The sequence below is a fragment of the Homo sapiens genome, chromosome 4, assembly GCF_000001405.40.
Source record: "Homo sapiens chromosome 4, GRCh38.p14 Primary Assembly".
In the NCBI taxonomy this organism is placed as follows: domain Eukaryota; kingdom Metazoa; phylum Chordata; class Mammalia; order Primates; family Hominidae; genus Homo; species Homo sapiens.
Genome location: NC_000004.12, coordinates 121,130,313 through 121,148,588, shown reverse-complemented (window position 1 = coordinate 121,148,588; position 18,276 = coordinate 121,130,313). Strand labels below are relative to the sequence as shown.

General features: G+C 36.7%; 1 protein-coding gene across 8 annotated transcripts in view; it reads left to right on the top strand.

The window, feature by feature from the left end:
- The window catches only part of TNIP3 (TNFAIP3 interacting protein 3), a 96,076-nt gene extending 78,895 nt beyond the window's left edge, over nucleotides 1–17,181 (top strand). For 3 of the 8 annotated variants that reach the window (XM_047416182.1, XM_011532256.3, NM_024873.6), the window contains 5 exons: nucleotides 1,415–1,540; nucleotides 5,813–5,863; nucleotides 6,675–6,773; nucleotides 9,905–9,965; nucleotides 15,927–17,181. In XM_047416182.1, the coding sequence (XP_047272138.1) occupies nucleotides 1,415–1,540; nucleotides 5,813–5,863; nucleotides 6,675–6,773; nucleotides 9,905–9,965; nucleotides 15,927–15,958 (369 nt within the window). In that variant the 3' untranslated portion in view covers nucleotides 15,959–17,181. Of the gene's footprint in view, nucleotides 1–1,414; nucleotides 1,541–5,812; nucleotides 5,864–6,674; nucleotides 6,774–9,904; nucleotides 9,966–11,903; nucleotides 12,812–15,926 lie in introns of those variants that run through there. The other 5 variants (NM_001244764.2, XM_011532257.4, NM_001128843.2 and 2 more) reach the window with 3 other exon arrangements.
- The last annotated feature ends 1,095 nt before the right edge of the window (nucleotides 17,182–18,276 follow it).

The window sequence follows — 18,276 nt, the reverse complement described above, 5'->3', positions numbered from 1 at the left end:
ACAGTCTTAAAGCTCTGTCAAACTCTCAACCCCTAAAGTAACTGTTGGTGCTAGCCAGGATTTCTTCAAAAACCAAAAGCACTGCTTATGTTCAAAACACTTGACATCTTCGGAACTCGCATATAAGGTACACCACATGCAAGAGTCACTTTTACACATAAAGTTTATAATAATGATTTGGTTCATATTTGTTACAGTGACAGATACTCTTTTTTCATAAACCCTGTGGGAAGACCAAAATCCATCTCCGTAGTTTTGCAGTGCCTCTACTGCTGACTTTCTCCATAAATATTTTAACTGTGCACGTTTCTAATCAGGCACCCGCAATCATTACATCACCAAGTGCCGCATGAAACACTAAAGGGTTTAAATGCACAAAGAAACTGAGTTGGAATCTTGGCCCCTACCTGACTAAAGTGATGATGTTGCCAGTGTTTAATTCTAATCAGATGGGCTCCTCCCATTTAAAATGCCTCTGGTAATTGTTTACAGAGCATCAGTTTAACTGTCTCTGGAAATGAATGTCAGTTCTCAACCAAAAAAATCATCAAAATGTCAATGTGGCTGGATGTAGTTTCCCTTCAGTGCTTCTGGTGAATAAAGCCTTAAAAATGTAATATGTGTATCTGCATGTAGATCTATACAAAATTTTTAATTTCTTCCCTTGCATATTTTGTTCTATTGCTGTCGACTTAGAACAATAAAATTGATAAACCTTTAGTTAAAATTTGTTGGGCTGTTAGTGATGAAAGTGTAATGTGCATTAGTTTTAATAGATAAAAATCTAGCTATAGGTTCCAATATAAGTAGTAATTTAAATCAGAATCTTAGAGGAATGTTTTTACTTCATTCCTTACCTTTCATTTGTTTTCATAGCTTTATATACCAGTCTGCTAACCTTCAGTCAACAGTAAGTCAGTTGAAAACAGTAACAATAATTAAACCTGTTTTTGTTTTTAGTTTAGTCACTTTTCTCAAATATTTGGAGTGCCTCTCAAGAGGTGTTCCACTCAAATATTACTATTATTTATGAGATACATCCAAAATAACTTATAAAAGGAAAATTTGTGAATACCTTTTAACAATCATGCTTTGCTTTTCCACATATGTAAGGGTTTCATTTCTTTTTTGCATTCAACTTATAATTTATGTCTGGAAACTTGGGCATGTCAGTATTTAGTGGCATCACTTAACATCTATTGTCAGTAAACTGTCTTTTAGAAGTTCAAGCAGTATTCATACATCAAAGCCCTTGTGTTAGGGATGGATGACTTGCTCCAAAACAGTGACACTGAACACTAGTTGGGAGGGTTCTTTACAATAATGGAGTAGGCAGCAGTCATTTAAAATAAAGTCATTTAAATGGCTTAAGTGAAAAGGAAGCTTACAGTAACAGCAAGCTAATATTTCTTAGGTGCAAATATACGAAGAAGACTTCAAAAAGGAACGATCGGATCGAGAGAGACTTAATCAAGAGAAAGAGGAGCTACAGCAAATTAATGAAACTTCCCAATCCCAGTTGAACAGGCTGAATTCCCAGGTACAAGTCAAAACAAAATAATCTTTGCCAGCATGTATGTATATTTTTTTCATTTAAAAAAATTCAAGACGTTTGGACTTCTGTTAATTGACATTGAATTTTTTTTTAAAGGTCAGCACCTGGGATGAAGTCATTCTTAAACAATCTTGTAAAGAGATGAAAATGACTGGAAATTTCTTTTAACTTAAGTATATTAAGGAATTGCCCAAGAAATTGCATTCCAAAGTTTTTTTTAATAAAATACAGTCCTTTTGATCTTTTTCTCATAATATTTATCTTGGTAGAATGAGAGTTGAACTACCTAGTACTCAAATAAAGTGAAGTGGTTTTTAAAATTCTTGTCATTTTCTTTGAAGGGCTATGTTGGAATGCTCCTGTCTGCCAAAAACATACGTATTTCTAAATGCCATTTATATGTGAGACTGAGGATTTTGTTCAGTGGTTCCCAGATGTAATGTAACTGGAGTACTTTGAAGGAAGCCAGATAATGGTCACCAGTTTATTAAAATAGAATATATTAAATGTAAGCATACTAAAATTAAGTGTAATTGAACATATTAAAGTAGACTCAGGAAGTTGCCACGATGGGTAAATAGTGATGTTAATGAAGGAAAATGTAGCTAACATAATTTTGCCTTAAAAAATAAAACAAACTGCACCATTTTTATTTGTAAAATATTGCAATACATTTAAATAAATAGAACATTGTTATGAGAATGCTGTGGCAGCACTTAGCTTCAAGATTCTTCGTCATAAAAAAATTTAAAACAGTCATCATTTTCTTCCAAATACAAAGTGGATTGTGAATTAAATTTAATTTTATCTCTGATTTTTTTAAGATTAACTTGAAATTCTTAATTTTACATGGAAAAAATTGTTTTGCAGAACCATTTTCTCTGTAAGAAATTAGAAAAAATAAAATAGTAGTAAAAAATCAAATAATTTTATGAAAGTAATTCAGGCAACCTAATAAATAATTCATACAATAATAGGTAAGACAATGTTCTGATTACTCTTGGTAAAAAAAAAGAGTATATATTGTATATTCTCTCTCTCTCTTTTTTTTTTTATGAGATGGTGTTTTGCTCTTGTTGCCCAGGCTGGAGTGCAATGGCATGATCTCGGCTCACCGCAACCTCCACCTCCCAGGTTCAAGCTAGTCTCCTGCCTCAGCCTCCCAAGTAGCTAATTTTTTTGTATTTTTATTCTTTTAATGTGTTTCTTACATGCCCAACTACTCTAATTTCTTTTAAGTTGTCTCTGCACAAACTGTTTTACTTGCTGCCAGTAAAACAGTTTTAGAACAAAAAATATTTGTTTTTTAAAGCAATTTTAAAATTTGCTGCCAGTAAAACAGCAAGTAAAACAACTTTAATTTTAAAACAATTTTTAATAATTTATTTTTATATGATAAATTATATATCAATATATAATTATATTTAATTAAATAATTTTATTTATTCTACTATATTAAGATTGGTGATAGACTGGCAATGTCCTTGCCATTACAGAACTTTTAGTCTTGTCAGGAATGTATATCTATCTACTTAACGTTGTATACTATAATCCACAAGTCCTTAACTGTGTCACCTGTAAAGTTGATTGGTATCAACAAAATAAATGTATTTTCTAAATGCAGTATGGTATAATTCTGCCTTGAACCTAAAGGACAATCTTAATGATATCTAAAGTGATAGATTAAAGCTATGAAATTTTTTCTTTAAAATAATGAAAGCTCAATCATTTTTTTAAAGTCTCATTTACTCAATAGGAGAATGATAGAATTCACAGAGATGTAATAGATGGTTTGATGATCTGTGTTAAATGTGTTAACAGCAGATTAAATGCTATGATATTTTAAAAAGAACTGACATTACCTTAGTTGAATAACATATTATTTGTTGTCCAAGTGGACTTTTAGAGGAATATTTAGGTCAAATCATTCTGGCATTCTGAGTTGCTTTCTTACCAGAATGTATTCATTCTATCACTGAGGATGCGTTAAGTCAGTGAAAATAAGTAATGTGGTAAAGTGAAAGATGCTTAGGGTACTTAGAAATATGAGAATTTAGGGGGAAAAGACTTGGTGTTCCTGCCTGCTCTAATATTCCATTGGTGGTAACCTTGAACAAGTTATTTAACTTTTCTATGCTTCCTTTTCTTCATCTGTACAATGACAAAGTTGAACTAGATGATCTCTAAAATGCTTCTTATTACTCTAAAATCTCTCTCTAAAAAATAAGTTCCTTAACCTCTTTTAGTATACCTGCCTGTAAAATATAGATAATGAAACCTACCTTGTGACTTCCTAAGTTGTTCTCAATATTAAGTGAAAAAAGCAAAAACAGGCCGGGTGCGGTGACTCATGCCTGTAATCCCAGCACTTTGGGAGGCCAAGGCGGGCAGATCACCTGAGATCAGGAGTTTGAGACCAGCCTGGCCAAAATGGCGAAACCCTGTCTCTACTAAAAGCACAAAAATTAGCTGGGCATGGTGGCACGCGCCTGTAATCACAGCTATTTTGGAGGCTGAGGCAGGAGAATCACTTGAACCCAGGAGGCAGAGGTTGCAGTGAGCCGAGATTGGGCCACTGCATTCCAGTCTGGGCAACAGAGTGGGATTCTGTCTCAAAAAGAAAAGAAAAAAACAAAAAAACGCTTTAGAAAACATTTAGCTCAAGTCAAGTCATGGCTCAGAGGTATTTTATAAATTATTTTAGTCTATTAGAAGAGGGGGCATGTTTAATAGTTTCATTTAGTTTATAATTAGCATGGTACTTTCAGTTCTTTGTAATCTAATTTTGATGCTTTCTTTTTGCAAGGCATTCTGCTATATGCTGTGAGAAAACGAAAACTGGTTCTTGCTAGTAAATAACTCACAATATAGTAAAAGAGACATGTACAGTCTATCCTCATCATCACAAATTCTGCATATGTGAATTTCCCTACTGACTAAAATGCATTTGTCATCCCCAAATCAATACTTGTGGTGCTTTGTGATACATCCTTACATATGAGCAGAGCAGCAAAGTTGTTTCCTGACATATACACATTCCTAGTGTTCTTTTTGTGATCTATTTAGTGCCATGTTTCCTGCATTTTTGTGCTATTTGTTGGTGATTTCATGGTTTAGAATGGCCCACACGTATATGCTGTCATGCTCTCTAGTATTCCTAAGCATGAAGGATGTGATGTGCCTTATAGAGAAAAAGTGTGTTAGAGAAGCTTCATTAAGACATGTTATAGTACTCTTGACCATGACTTCAGAGTTAATCAACAATACATATTAAATAAGTTGTCTTTAATCAGAAACACACATGAAACAAAGTTATGTATTGATCCATTGACACAAATGTTGTGACAAGAGGCTAGCAGAAACTTAACCCAACATTTCTCCTAGGAGCAGTGGTTCAATATTCACTAATTCAGTGTCCGTGGTGACTTTATGGAATATGACCACCACAAGCAGCAAGAATTGCCTGTAAATAGTACACATTGGTCTAAAAAATCACACAGTAAATATACAACACTACATAAGAGGACAGAATAATTCTGATAAGTGGGACTTGGAAAGGTATCATTCAGAAGGGGATATTTGACCATCCCTTATGGGAATGTGGGACATGGAGTGTAGGAATGACAATGATGTGAATGAACAGTCAAGGAAAAGCCAGCTTTCTCTAAATGTGTCTTAAGTTAAGGGAACCCAGGGTAGGTGATTCATCTAGATGAGGCTGGGCCTTAAGTAGTGAGAAGCTGTGGGATATAGCAGTGTGACTTTGAACAAGTTACTCAGAATCTTATGTCTTAGTGTTCTCATCTATAAAATTGAGATAGTATTAAGTATCACATAGAGGGATTGGGAGAATTCAGTGAGTTATTGCATGTAAAAAATTTAGATAAGTTTCTGACATGGATTAAGTGCATATATAACTTCTAACGTTTATTGTGGAAGCCTTTGAATGTCAGGTTGACAATTCCAATGTCATTCAGTAAGCAATGGAAATTGTTTCTATATCTGTATCTAAATAGATCTACCTAAAACAGAATTGTAATGGCCTCAAAAAACTGGAATAGCAATTTAAAACTATCACATTTTTCAAACTGCAACTGGAAATTTTAAGAATCAATGCATGTCTGCAAAAACCAACTTGTGGCTATTTTTGTTGGTATTACTGCTGTCAATGCCTGACACTTGAGTAGGTCAAGAGTGGCTTGGGAATTAATGATTTTAACTTGTCTTGATTAACAAATGCCTTTGTTTTGTCTTTAGATAAAAGCTTGTCAGATGGAGAAAGAAAAACTAGAAAAGCAATTAAAACAGGTATGTTGATCTAATTTTCACGCATACATTTATTCCCATGTACAGCATTTCTCATTGTCCCAATTAAAGACATGTTCAAGCTCTGCTACAGGTGACCTACAACAACCCATGCTTTTCATTACTGACTACACCATCAACGGATAGACAGTGCTTAGGCACCACCAAGGCCTTTCAACCCTAACACTCATAGAAAGCATATGCTTTATAGAGCATGTTACCAGTAGCACAAGTCTTAGTGCTCCTTAGACCCACAAGCACCTGGAAATAGATTTCATTGGTATTTCATGCAGTTGCTGACACAATTAACAGTAGAAAACTAAATCAAATACTGCCTCTTTTGAAAAAATAACATGCCTTCTTGAGCACTGAAGCATTCTATCCCATGGGTTCTCTAATAGCCTTAAATAATGAATATTATTTGTCCTAATTCCTAATTTCCTTTCTGGATTTTAGTTTTCCCTGGCTACAATTTAAGAAAACCTATTTTATGACTCAATGAATAGATTTTCTTCATTGAGGGCCCTCAATAAAGATAACTCAAAAACATAAAGTTAACTCTATATACTTTTCAAGTGTGTCTAATTTCTTCAAAATGGGGAAATGATTATAGTTTCACCTTAGGTAAAACTTGACCTGTGAGCCTCGTTTGTATTGGTCCTGAGTCTATTGACATGTTTACTATTTTGAGTTATAATTATGCCAGATTAAGTGGAACCTTAAGATTGAAACCAAACCTTTTGTATAAAGCAATGTCACTGCAACTCCTCAGTCTCTCCCACTGGTAGTGACCCCACAGTTTTGTTCTCCTCAGATGTATTGCCCACCCTGTAACTGCGGCTTGGTTTTCCACCTGCAAGATCCATGGGTACCAACAGGCCCTGGAGCTGTGCAGAAGCAACGGGAGCACCCAGTAAGTAAGAGTGCATTTGAAAAAGTGCTTAGTATACTGTTTTGGTAGAAATTATGTGCATCTCTGGAATTTCAGCACATTATATTATCTACAGCAAGAGCCTCTGTTTTCTCTCAGCCTCTAACTTGCAAAGTTGGAGTGGTCAATGTACACTAGAATTATCTTTGGGACACTGAATCCATAGGACACATAGATACGAATAAATTAACTGAAAGGTATTAAATTGGGAATAATTCCTTGAACAACATATAACATTTTCAATTGGCATACTTCATTCTACCCAAAGGACATTTTCTGTATAAAGTGTATTTATGTATAAAGGAAAGTGGATATGGCAAAACAAGAAAAATGAGATGCTTTTGTTCGGTTGTAAATTTATATTGAACTACTATGGATATTGCTACATATGTGCAAAATAGATTTTGACATTTTCCAATTGAAAGGATTTTCTTAAAGGATCCAAGAAAAAGTGACCCACTTAAGTTGTTCTCCATGGCTGTGTCTTCCCAGACAAAATGAAATGCAGAGTTGAGCAATTATTTGTGAGGGGAATTGATTTGGACAGTCAACCTGAATTAGTGAGGCCCAAAGCACCCTTTTTTTCCTTCTCAATAGCAGTATTCCACCTACCCTCCTCTACTTTTTATTTTGCCTACATAGATAGAAATTTATCCAGGAAAAAAATATGCATTTTCTGCATTTTGGATTTACCCAGACAAATCCCGCTACCCTTTAGGTTTGATTAATTGTGTTTCTCATGATGAAAAAATCTAAGATTTTTAACTGGGATTTTCCTACCAGAATGCTTACAGAGAACATGATTCTCTTGGCTTCCTGAAAGTTCTCATACTTTTGTTCGAGTGTGACTCAAAACCCTTTTCCCAAGGGAGGAGATAATGACTCTTTGGGTGGCTGAAGGAATGTGAGGATTTAATGAGCATCTCTTATTTGACCCTGGTATGACACAGCACACCGCTAAGAATTGAGTCTTTTCATGTTATTGCGGGTTGCTAGTTCTGTCTGCTCTCCCTCCCCCTTTTCCTTTTTTTTCTTTACCTGTTTGCTTACTTTTCAGTCTTTACCAATAACATTAAATTTTTTTTTCAAGAATGTAGAAGTCAACTCAGATTGTGAGAAACATAAAGAGAAATTTACTGTAGGAGTGAATTAACCTATAGGAGTTGGCTTCTACAGGTTGGGGGATTGGAGAAATATTCTTATGAAAGGTTAACTATAAAACCAATCAGTCATTCACATTTACCTAGGAGTACAAATTATTGTTTCAGTCAAATATTTCTTTATGGAAAGAAGGAAGGAATTCACCTACTATAGCTCATCAAACAGTCCATGTCAATTAAAAAAGGCAAGGCAGTCCAGGTCACATAAAATTGTCACCAAATAAAGGCCTATATTTGAAAAAGGACTCCAAGCCATGTAGAATGGCCTACATTTTCTTTCTTTTTTTCTTTTTTCTTTTTTTTTGAGAAGGCATCTCGCTCTGTCATCCAGGCTGTAGTGCAGTGGTGCGATCTTGGCTCACTGCAACCTGTACCTCCTGGGTTCAGGCAATTCTCCTGCCTCAGCCTCCCGACTGGCTGGGACTACAGGCACACACCACCACACGTGGCTAATTTTTGTAATTTTAGCGGAGATGGGGTTTCACCATATTGCCCAGGCTGGTCTCAAACTCCTGACCTCATGATCCGCCCACCTTGGCCTCCCAAAGTGCTGAGATTACAGGCATGAGCCACTGCGCCTGGCCAGAATGGCCTACATTTTCAAGCAGTAGTCAGATGAAAAAAATCTCAGCATAACAGTAGAGTTTACAACCAAATCCTCAAAGTTAATTTAAAAATAATATTTCATGTTTCTTGTCTATATCGAAGGCTGAATTAAGTCACATGCTATAGTGTTGGTAACATTACAGGATATTTACCTTCTCTTGGCAACTCTCCTGGAATATAAAACTGAGGCTCACGTCACTTATCCTATGTGTTATTTGAGACATCTAAAAATAAACGAGAAGATAAAAAACAGAGGTGATCTCATTTCCTCTTCTAGCTTTTTCATAAGCCAGAGGAGCCAAGGGCCTAGGTGTCTAGAGTAGGGGTACAGTGGGGTCAAACTGCACTAAAAGCAGCATTTCTCAGTGTCTTATTGAGTAATTGAACTTTCTGGGCTACTTTCAGTGGTCTGGCAGCCTTGTAAATGCTCTCTGTTGGCTCATGTTAGAAAAATTTTCCTCAAGTTATTTTTAGGAGATAATTGAATTACAGAACAACAAAAAAATCTATATTCTCTGTGTCTTGTGGAGAAGTAGGAGGCAGGGGTGAGCATTCAGAGCAGAAAGACAGACCTGCTTTGTGGGCAGGTAAAGCTGAGATTGCTCCATTCCTAAGCGTTAAATACAGAGGTGCTGGCCTTGGAGATATCTTGATGATTCAGGCCTATGGGTTTACTATTTATTCAATGCAATTTGTTCGACATTCAATATCTAGCTGTTCTTAACTGGTGTAAACCTAGGAGAAAATCCCAAGAGAAAAATCTTGTCTCTGTAGACTAAACTATATGAGCAATTTAGAGGATAGGTTCTGCTGGATCGGTTCTTCACAACAGCAAAAAGGGAAAGATTTGCCCTGCTTCACCATCCTGAACTTCTGTCAATGCCAAATCCCCATTTAATAGCTTAAATTTCTTCCTTAAACCATTAGAAAACTTGTATTAAACTTTTTTTCCTGGCCTTCTCATTGCCTCTAGTGTGAGGGTCTCAAAAAGAGTATTTGTTGATGCTAAGTTGCTTTGTTTTATTGATGGGCTGTAGTAAGTTTTACAAGTGTTTATACTTCTGCAGATATTCAAAACACATCTGTTTCAAAAAAAGAAAGAAAATATGTCACAACCTCAAAGTGGTAGAAATTCTGGCCAAACACAGAGTGGATTTAAGAGGGGGTAGGGAGAGATGATGGCAGTGATGGGGGGTAAGCAGGATGAGTGAGGTTGGCAATAGGTTTGGATAGAAATTACTTTTGTGTTGCCTGCTTAATAAAAGCCACATAGCCTAATTGTATTTTTGACATGCCACTATATTTGAAGTCCATATTGCTATAATAATGTTGTATTGTTCCACACAGCCAGACTATCAGTGGTATGCTCTTGACCAGCTTCCGCCAGATGTACAACACAAGGCAAATGGTGAGACCACAGCTGTATTGAGCATTCTTTCATGTTTACATCTTAATGGGATCTTTTGGGGATGTTTACTCAACATACATTCATTCGTACTTGGGGAGGACTTACTATAAAGTTGTGTTACATACATAACTTTAATTTGATGCACCTGGGGTTAAATTGAACTCCTTAAGACAAAGAAAATGTGCGAATGCAGAAATGCATGAACCTCAATTCTGGCTTCTGTTCCTTTTTCAGTCTCAGAGTCAGAATTCCATCTGGGGTTAGAAATGAAAACTGTAAGCAGAGCTGTATTATAACAACAACAAAGCTCTGCAATTGTACTACAAAGCACAGATGCACACCCACTATTCCAGGTTGAGTTTGCTAGACAGATGTTTTAAATGTCACTGGCAGACAGACAGAGGAAACCAAAGGCTCGGAACTGTGTTCCCTTATGACTAAATGTCAGACTCCAAGGCAGGGCTCTTAGTTTAGGCCAGGGTTGCCCACAACGCCCACCTCAAAGTATGCTGGGGAAAACTAAAAGTCACTTATGAAGTACTCACAACTAAGAGTACTTTTTTAAATCTTATTTTTTATTGATTTAACATTTTCTGTTTTCTTTCTAGAATCTGCTATACTTTCTACTGCTTGTTTCTATGGTCTTGTGAGGCCACCCAGAAGCGGGCTGTATAAACTGAGCTATAATCAAAATCCCACTTCTATTCTCATCAAGTATACATAATCAAAAGTTAGAAATGTCTGCTACATGTTTAAAGTCTCATATGACACACACCTGGGACTCTAACTTGTTAATTTCCAAAGATTTGAATCTATCTAAAAATGCTGAAGATGAGCTATGTAGTCTAATTTCAGGCCATTCTTGAAATTTGATCTCGTTTGAAGTCAGAGCTGAGATCACAGAAATCTAGTTTTTAATACAAGGAGTCTGTTATGGAGTGTAAATAGGGAGTCAGGGACACCACATGTAGTTTTGCAGGTTGTGAACTTTACAAGTCTGAGGGGCTCATCATGGTACTCTATGTGAATGGAGCCTGCTGAAGTACAATACGCAATCTGGACAGCTGTACACAGCAGCAATGGGAGTGACAAAGGCCATAGATTACAACAGCATCATAGAAAAGAAATATGAAATGTGAGAATTCCATAATAAAATATCCAGGTATTTATCAAAACACTATAGGACTCTCTTTTTTCTTTGCTTTCTACTACAAATATAGCCAGTGGTTTTAATGAAGTTCTTGAGTTCCAACAATAATGGAGTTGTTTTATTAGAAAGGCATACCATTAACCGGAATGTGTGTTGCATAATATATGCAATTTTAAAATCTATTATGGTATAATAACAGAATTGCTACCCAATTATAATTTTCCATTTTATATTGCTCTGGAATGACTATTAAAGATATTTTCTTTCTGAATTGGAGTTTAATAACTGGAAAATAAAATTACTTAGTACAGAATTTAGTAATACCATAAGGTCATTTATATATCATTATTAGATTCTTGCTGGACCAATATTACACAAGCTAATGATTACATAAAATAGAAATGAATTGTGATGACATTCAGAAACTAAATAGAATATGCAATAATGAAATGTTGTAGTCAGTGTATGAGACTTACTGATTTTTGTCTAGCTAGGAAAAATGTAGTGAGCTTTGTGATGTATAAACATACCATGTAACAGTGTCTACAGATGTAAAACTACAACAAAAAAATCTCCATGATGTACCAACCTAAGCTTTTTTTTTTTTTTTTTTTTTCGGAGACAGTCTTACTCTGTCACCCAGGCTGGAGTAGTGCACTGGTGTGATCATAGCTCACTGTACCCTTAAACTCCTGGGCTCAAGAAATCATCCCACCTCAGCCTCATGAATAGGGCTACAGGCATGAACCACCATGCCCAGCTAATTTTTATTTTTATTTTTTGTTCAGATGGTGTCTTGCTCCACCTCCAGTCTGTTGCCAGGCTGGTCTCGAACTCCTGGCCTCAAGTGATCCTCCTGCCTCTGGCTCCCAAAGTGCTGAAATTTCAGGTGTGAGCCACTACACCCGGCCTGTTTTTAAAGCATTATTTCAATCTTCACAACAAAGCTATGAAATAGGTTTTGTTTTGCACTATTTAACACATGAGGAAACTGAGGCTTAGAGAATTTAAGTAACACGCCTAAATCACACAGTTAATAAAATTTAGCAAGGGGATTAGATTATTTGATATATAGGATTCTAAAACATATGGTTTGAATTATATAGTACAGTGCCCCTCTTACTGTACCTCTCTCACTTTATTGAAATTTTCTGAAAGTATAGATACAAAAATGAGAAGGGGACTCTAACATAGATAATAATATGACTAGCATTTAACCCTCAATAATCTCATCTTTGTGTGAACTCACAGCATGCTACTCATTTGACATTTAGAATATCACAAGTAAAAGGCACGGTACTATGTAAGATTAAGTGTGTAATAAATATGTTATGAACTAACCTGTGCATGGACAGCCCTGGTGGAACCTGACCAGGATATGTTGTCATTTGAAACCTATCCTTTTCCATACTAACACAGCTCTGCAACTAACTATGGCTGGCCAGCAGCAGAGAAGAGGGCTGATCATGGTTAGGGCACCACCAAAAAATTCCTCACTCAAAAGTCTACCTGTTTGGGATTCCTATGCCTCCTTTACTAGCTTCCACAGTTGATGTATTTCATAGCTTAAGCCATGTCATAAGAATTGGCAGAACTCTGACATCACTCTTGTCATAAATGATGGATGTGTCATTATTTAATTTCAGTAGTGGTTCTTGCTGGTTTGGGGTTCATTTAATTAAAACGGTCCTTTTAATCTGTTGGTGTAACTGAATTGCTCAGAATTCTCATAAAATAATTTTGTGGTATTGACTATTAAGAAATCACTAGTTTAAGGCCAGGAGTGGTGGCTCATGCCTATAATCCCAGCGCTTTGTGAGGCCAACGTGGGCAGATTGCTTGAGCCTAGGAGTTCAAGCCCAGCCTGGGCAACATGGTGAAACCCTGTCTCTACAAAAAAATACAAAAATTAACCAAGTCTAGTGGCATGTGCCTGTAGTCCCAGCTACTTGGGAGACTAAGGTAGGAGGATCACATGAGCCCAGGAGGCCAAGGTTGCGGTGAGGTGAGATCACGCCACTGCGCTCAAGCCTGGGTGACAGAAAATGACTCTATCTCAAAAATAAAAAAAAATAAAAAAAAAGAAGAAGAAGTAACTTCATGCATTTGAAAAGGTATGGCAGATAATGAGTGATTAAATTTCAATGATACCACTAAATCCTCCTCTAACATTTCTGGGGCCTGGAGCAAGAATAAGTGGAGAGCTACATCCTATCTGTGTAAATCTCATGAATCAAGCATAGAAACTGTTAAAGTATAATCTATCCTCCTACCTTGATAAACATACATGGAAAACCAAAGTACAATTTACAATGCTCAGTTTCAAAACCAGTCTGTGACAGGACATGGTGGCACAGGGAGACCTAAGCCCTGGCCTCCTGCCTGGGACCCTCGACCTTCTCTCCCCACCTTCCCATCATAAGGACTCTTGAGTGCAGACTTGAAGACAGCCCAGCTGGGAGATCCCACCCTTGTCCATACACCCCTCACCACTCTACACACAACACTCTTTCGACAGCCTTCAGGCTGGGAAGAGGACCACATGAATCTTGGAAGCAGGCCCAGAATCACCTGGGCAGGGACTTCGGGGATGTGCATTTGGGTGCCAGGAGGAGCTTGTTCTGGAGGAAACGTCGCTCACACTGTGAGGAAGGGTGTGGCTGGAGGAGGGCTAGAGCAGAGTCCTCTATAAGATGGGGACATCAGTGAAGGGCTTCCTGACTAGGGACTGAGGGTGGTAGGTGCTGAGTACCATGGTGCACAGACTTCCAGTCAACTAATTTCCAGCTTTGCTCTCAGTTACTGTCTGTGGTTATTTCAGAATGCTTTGGAGACACATTGAAAATCAACCCTTCTTTCAAAAACTAAAGATTTTAAATGAAGGGTTTCGAATGTTTTCAAGTCATTTGAGACTTGGCTTTCTCTCTGTATAGCATTAAATAATGATGTTTTTAATACATTGAAGTCCACAGATATTAATGAGTTACAGCTTTTGTTTAGAAACGTGATTTTACAAAGAACATTTTCATCTTGTTTCATCTGTTATCAGAACGAGATGCAAAATGACTTCCATGTTTATAGAACAATTATGTCATAACAGAGTTAGTTTAACCTTGAAAAACATGTTGTTTGTTTCTTCCTTTCTGAAATGTCAAAAAGCTATGGTTTCTGATTGCATTGCATGCCAGTCACTTCTGTACATTCCAAATTTTTCATAGGGTACAGAGTTATGCTTTGTCTAATGAGCCAGAGATGGATTATTAATGTATCTAGAAAGGCATAAAATGTAGGGATGTGAAACTGTGTTGTGAAATTACTTCTTTACAATATAGAAGATCAAAGCCTAAATATTATGATTAGCTTTTACTAATGTCTAATACTAACCAATTAAATACTGACTGGATTTGTCTCCTAGGATTGCCATAACAAAATACCACAAGCTGGGTGGCTTAAAATAGAAAAACTTTTTTTTTCATAGCTCTGGAGGTTAGATATCCAAAAATCAAGATGTTGGCAGGGCCAAGCTCCTTCCAAATCCTCTGGGGAGGAGACTTCCTTGCCTCTTTCAGCATCTAGTAGCTCCAGGTATTCCTTAGCTAGTGGCAGCATCACTGCAATCTCTGCCTCGGTCTTCACATGACCATCTTCCATCTGTGTCCAAATTTTCCTGTTCTTACACACACACCAGTTACAGTGGATTAAGGCCCTCCTCCCACCTTCACTGTACATTTAGGGAAATTCTGCCTTCCCTTCAAGAACCTAAAGACCTATCTTTGTTTTTGTTCAGATTTCCATTCTGCCGTGGATTATCTCATTGGCCACAGCCTCTCTCCATCTAAAATATCAGGCTATTGATCTTTAATTCTATGCCTGTTTCACAAGAGCACTGTACAAATTGAAAAGGAGTTAATTTTAAAATATTTAAGATACCTAGGGAGAGGTATCATTAGTGGATTTATTTAATGTTAACTTCAGATTGGTTAGATCAATTAATTTATGCTTCTGAGTTCAAATTTATGTTCTCAACATATTAGATACCTTTTTAACATAGTGACCACAGTCCTCAGCAACATAATTTTTCAGCCTGGAAAAGTAACTTATTATCTTCCTATTTGCTTTTTCTGTTACCAAAATGTTAGTTTAGCACATCTTTGGTATACCAAATGAGGACAACAAGTACAAAACATTCAGCATATTTTTAAGTTATCAGGGATAAGGATAACTCTTTGTTTCTTGGCATTTCTATGATTATTTTTTCCTGTTGCCATGAGTAAACTTATTTGACTTTGTCTTTCATGTAGTATTCATTATCAAATAGTACTCAATCAAAATATTCCAGATTTTTCATATTGGTCTTCATGATACACCAACAAGTCTTTCTATAGGATATTTTCCATAGCTTTGGCAATAATGTACCCAGTACCATATATTAAAAGATCATATTTGGCAAGTTTTCTTTCTCTGGGGTAAGTACTGAACCTAACCTAAGTCATATATATGACTTACTTTCACATGCCCAAGCCAAAATGCCAGCAAGAGTGAGAATTAGTATAGAACATTCCTCCTCAGGCATAATTAGAACGAGGCCACAACTTATTTCACAAAATGGTAAGCATATGTCAATGCTTAAAATAATAACCCTCCATCTCCCGCTTCTTGATTTCTCAGTGTAAACTTGTGGGGAGCTTATGAATATAACATAACTTTTTTTTTTTTTTGCCATCCTGGAACTTTATGTCAGCCTTAAGCCAGAAGAAGAGAAATGAAATGTTAATTTTTAATCTAAAACATTTTCCTACTGTTTTCCATAGGTTTATCCTCAGTAAAGAAAGTCCATCCGTAGAAGTACACACTAACAGAGAGAGACAACAGGCAACGAGGGAGCGTGGCTGAGGACCCTCTTCTTTGTTTATACTGAGGCTTGTTTCTGCCACAAAGGCACATCATCTACCCTGTTATTTGTGCCTGGTCATGTTTTCCTTTGGTATGAATACAGGAAAAGGCTTCTGACAGCTAAGATCCTGATCAAATTGGAGGAGCCAGTTATTATACAACCAAATACAACTTCCAGTTTCCTTGAAATGAGACTTGGCAGATGGATGATGCACGACTCCCTGAAAATCTCTTCAGCATATTGCTGTTGGATGCACAAAAATGATTCTATGATTTAGGCAACTCAGTGTTTGCTGCAGGGATATTGTATGTTGATTTAAAGTGCATATGTGTGTGTGTGTGTGTGTGTGTGTGTGTGTGTGTGTGTTTCCTGGGGTAAAAATTTCTGCAGTTGTAAACGTTTAACATTGCTCCCATTCTTCTTCCACAGGGCCTTAGTTCTTTAGCTATTTGACTACATATTGTTGACCTCAGTGATCCTAAACGTAGAATTGAAGAGGTGTATATACCTCATTAAATTAAATAAGTGGTTCAATCTGAATAAGATGGTTAATTGGAAGCTATTCCTTAGACAGATCATTTCTTTAAGATGATGAGAAATTGTGCGCCTGCATCACAAGACTTGATTATGAAAGATAAAGTCTTGGGCTGGGTGCAGTGGCTCATGCCTATAATCCCAGCACTTTGGGAGGCTGAGGCAGGTGGATTGCTTTGAGGCCAGGAGTTCTAGACCAGCCTGGCCAGCATGGTGAAACCCCATCTCTACTATAAATACAAAAATTAGCCAGGCTCGTGGCACACACCTATAAACCCAGCTACTCAGGAGGCTTGAGGCGGGAGGATCACTTGAGCCCAGGGAGGCAGAGGTTGCTGTAAGTTGAGATCGCCACTGCACTCCAGCCTGGGAAATAGAGTGAGCAAGACTCAGTGCCCCCTACCCACCCACTCCACACCACCAAAAAAAAAAAAAAAAAAAAAAGGAAGACAAAGTCCTGATGGGATGATGATGGCTATATGGCTATGCTGTGTCCATATATACTTACAGAAATATTTCAGACATATGGATTTATAGTTAAATCTGTGTTTTTCCTTCCCTTGGATTTGATTAATTTTAATGAAAAACTTAATTCTGACTTCTCAAGCCAATTAAAATGAAAATGGAATTTATTGAAATTTTATTGCAATTAAATCTTATAGTGACATGACAGATGTCTAAAGATTAAGCAGATTTAGAAGTATTAAGTTTATCCATTTAATAAGAATTCTGCTAGGACTAACTTGAGATCCTCTTCGTGATCCTCTGTATACATATATACATATATATGTGTGTGTATATATGTATATTCTCACAAATATGATCTCAAATTATACATTTATATGTATATACATATATATATATATACATATAACAAGAAATGTGAGATCCTTGGATATCTATGCTTCTAGAAGTAAACCTAAAGCAACTGCAAAGCTGAAAATGCAGTTGAAGAAAACAATCCAAACATACTGCTAAAATTATCCAGTTTCAGCTTCCAAAAATTATGCTACTTTATTCCAGCTCAAATTATTATTATTCCAGTATCTGGATACACCTGAAGCTCTGTATAATGGGAAGATGAAAGAGCCTTAGGAAAATAAATATTTTCAGGTTCAGCCCTTTGCAACCCTGGAACATAATTCTTGACAAAGAATTATCCTTGTCTTACATTAATTTTCTGAATCTTGTTTCTGTTACTCTTTATCAAAGAGACAAATCATTCTTGGATATTACTTCAGTATAAGTATAAGCGTAAGTATAAGTCAGCTGCTGACTTGTTAACTGTTGTTTTCCTGATTCACCTATACTGAAGTAATACCCAGGAATGGAAACATTTTGGCATTTCAGATTAGTGAAAAAGTCATTGTGATGTCAATTTCTTGTGGTGGATTTAATTTGCCAACTGAGGTACGCCCACTGGGATAAAAACTGAACGAACACCCAAGAAAGTACTCCTTGAGAGGCCAGGCCCAGGCCTATTTAGCAGCAGGCAAATGTGATTTAACTCTCCAGTCCAAAGTCATCCTCTTACTAATTAGCAAGTTGCCAAACGTTGGCAAGATTGTGGAAATGCTAATGTAATGGGAGAAAACCCAATTTAAGTGAGACCTAATTTAATTTGAACTCCAGTGGGGGACTACAAATGTGGAAAGAGGAGCCCTTGCTCAGGGCAACTGCCGTTCCCAAAAGATGGATTTCACAACCCTGTCCTGAGAGTGACCCAGCCTCTC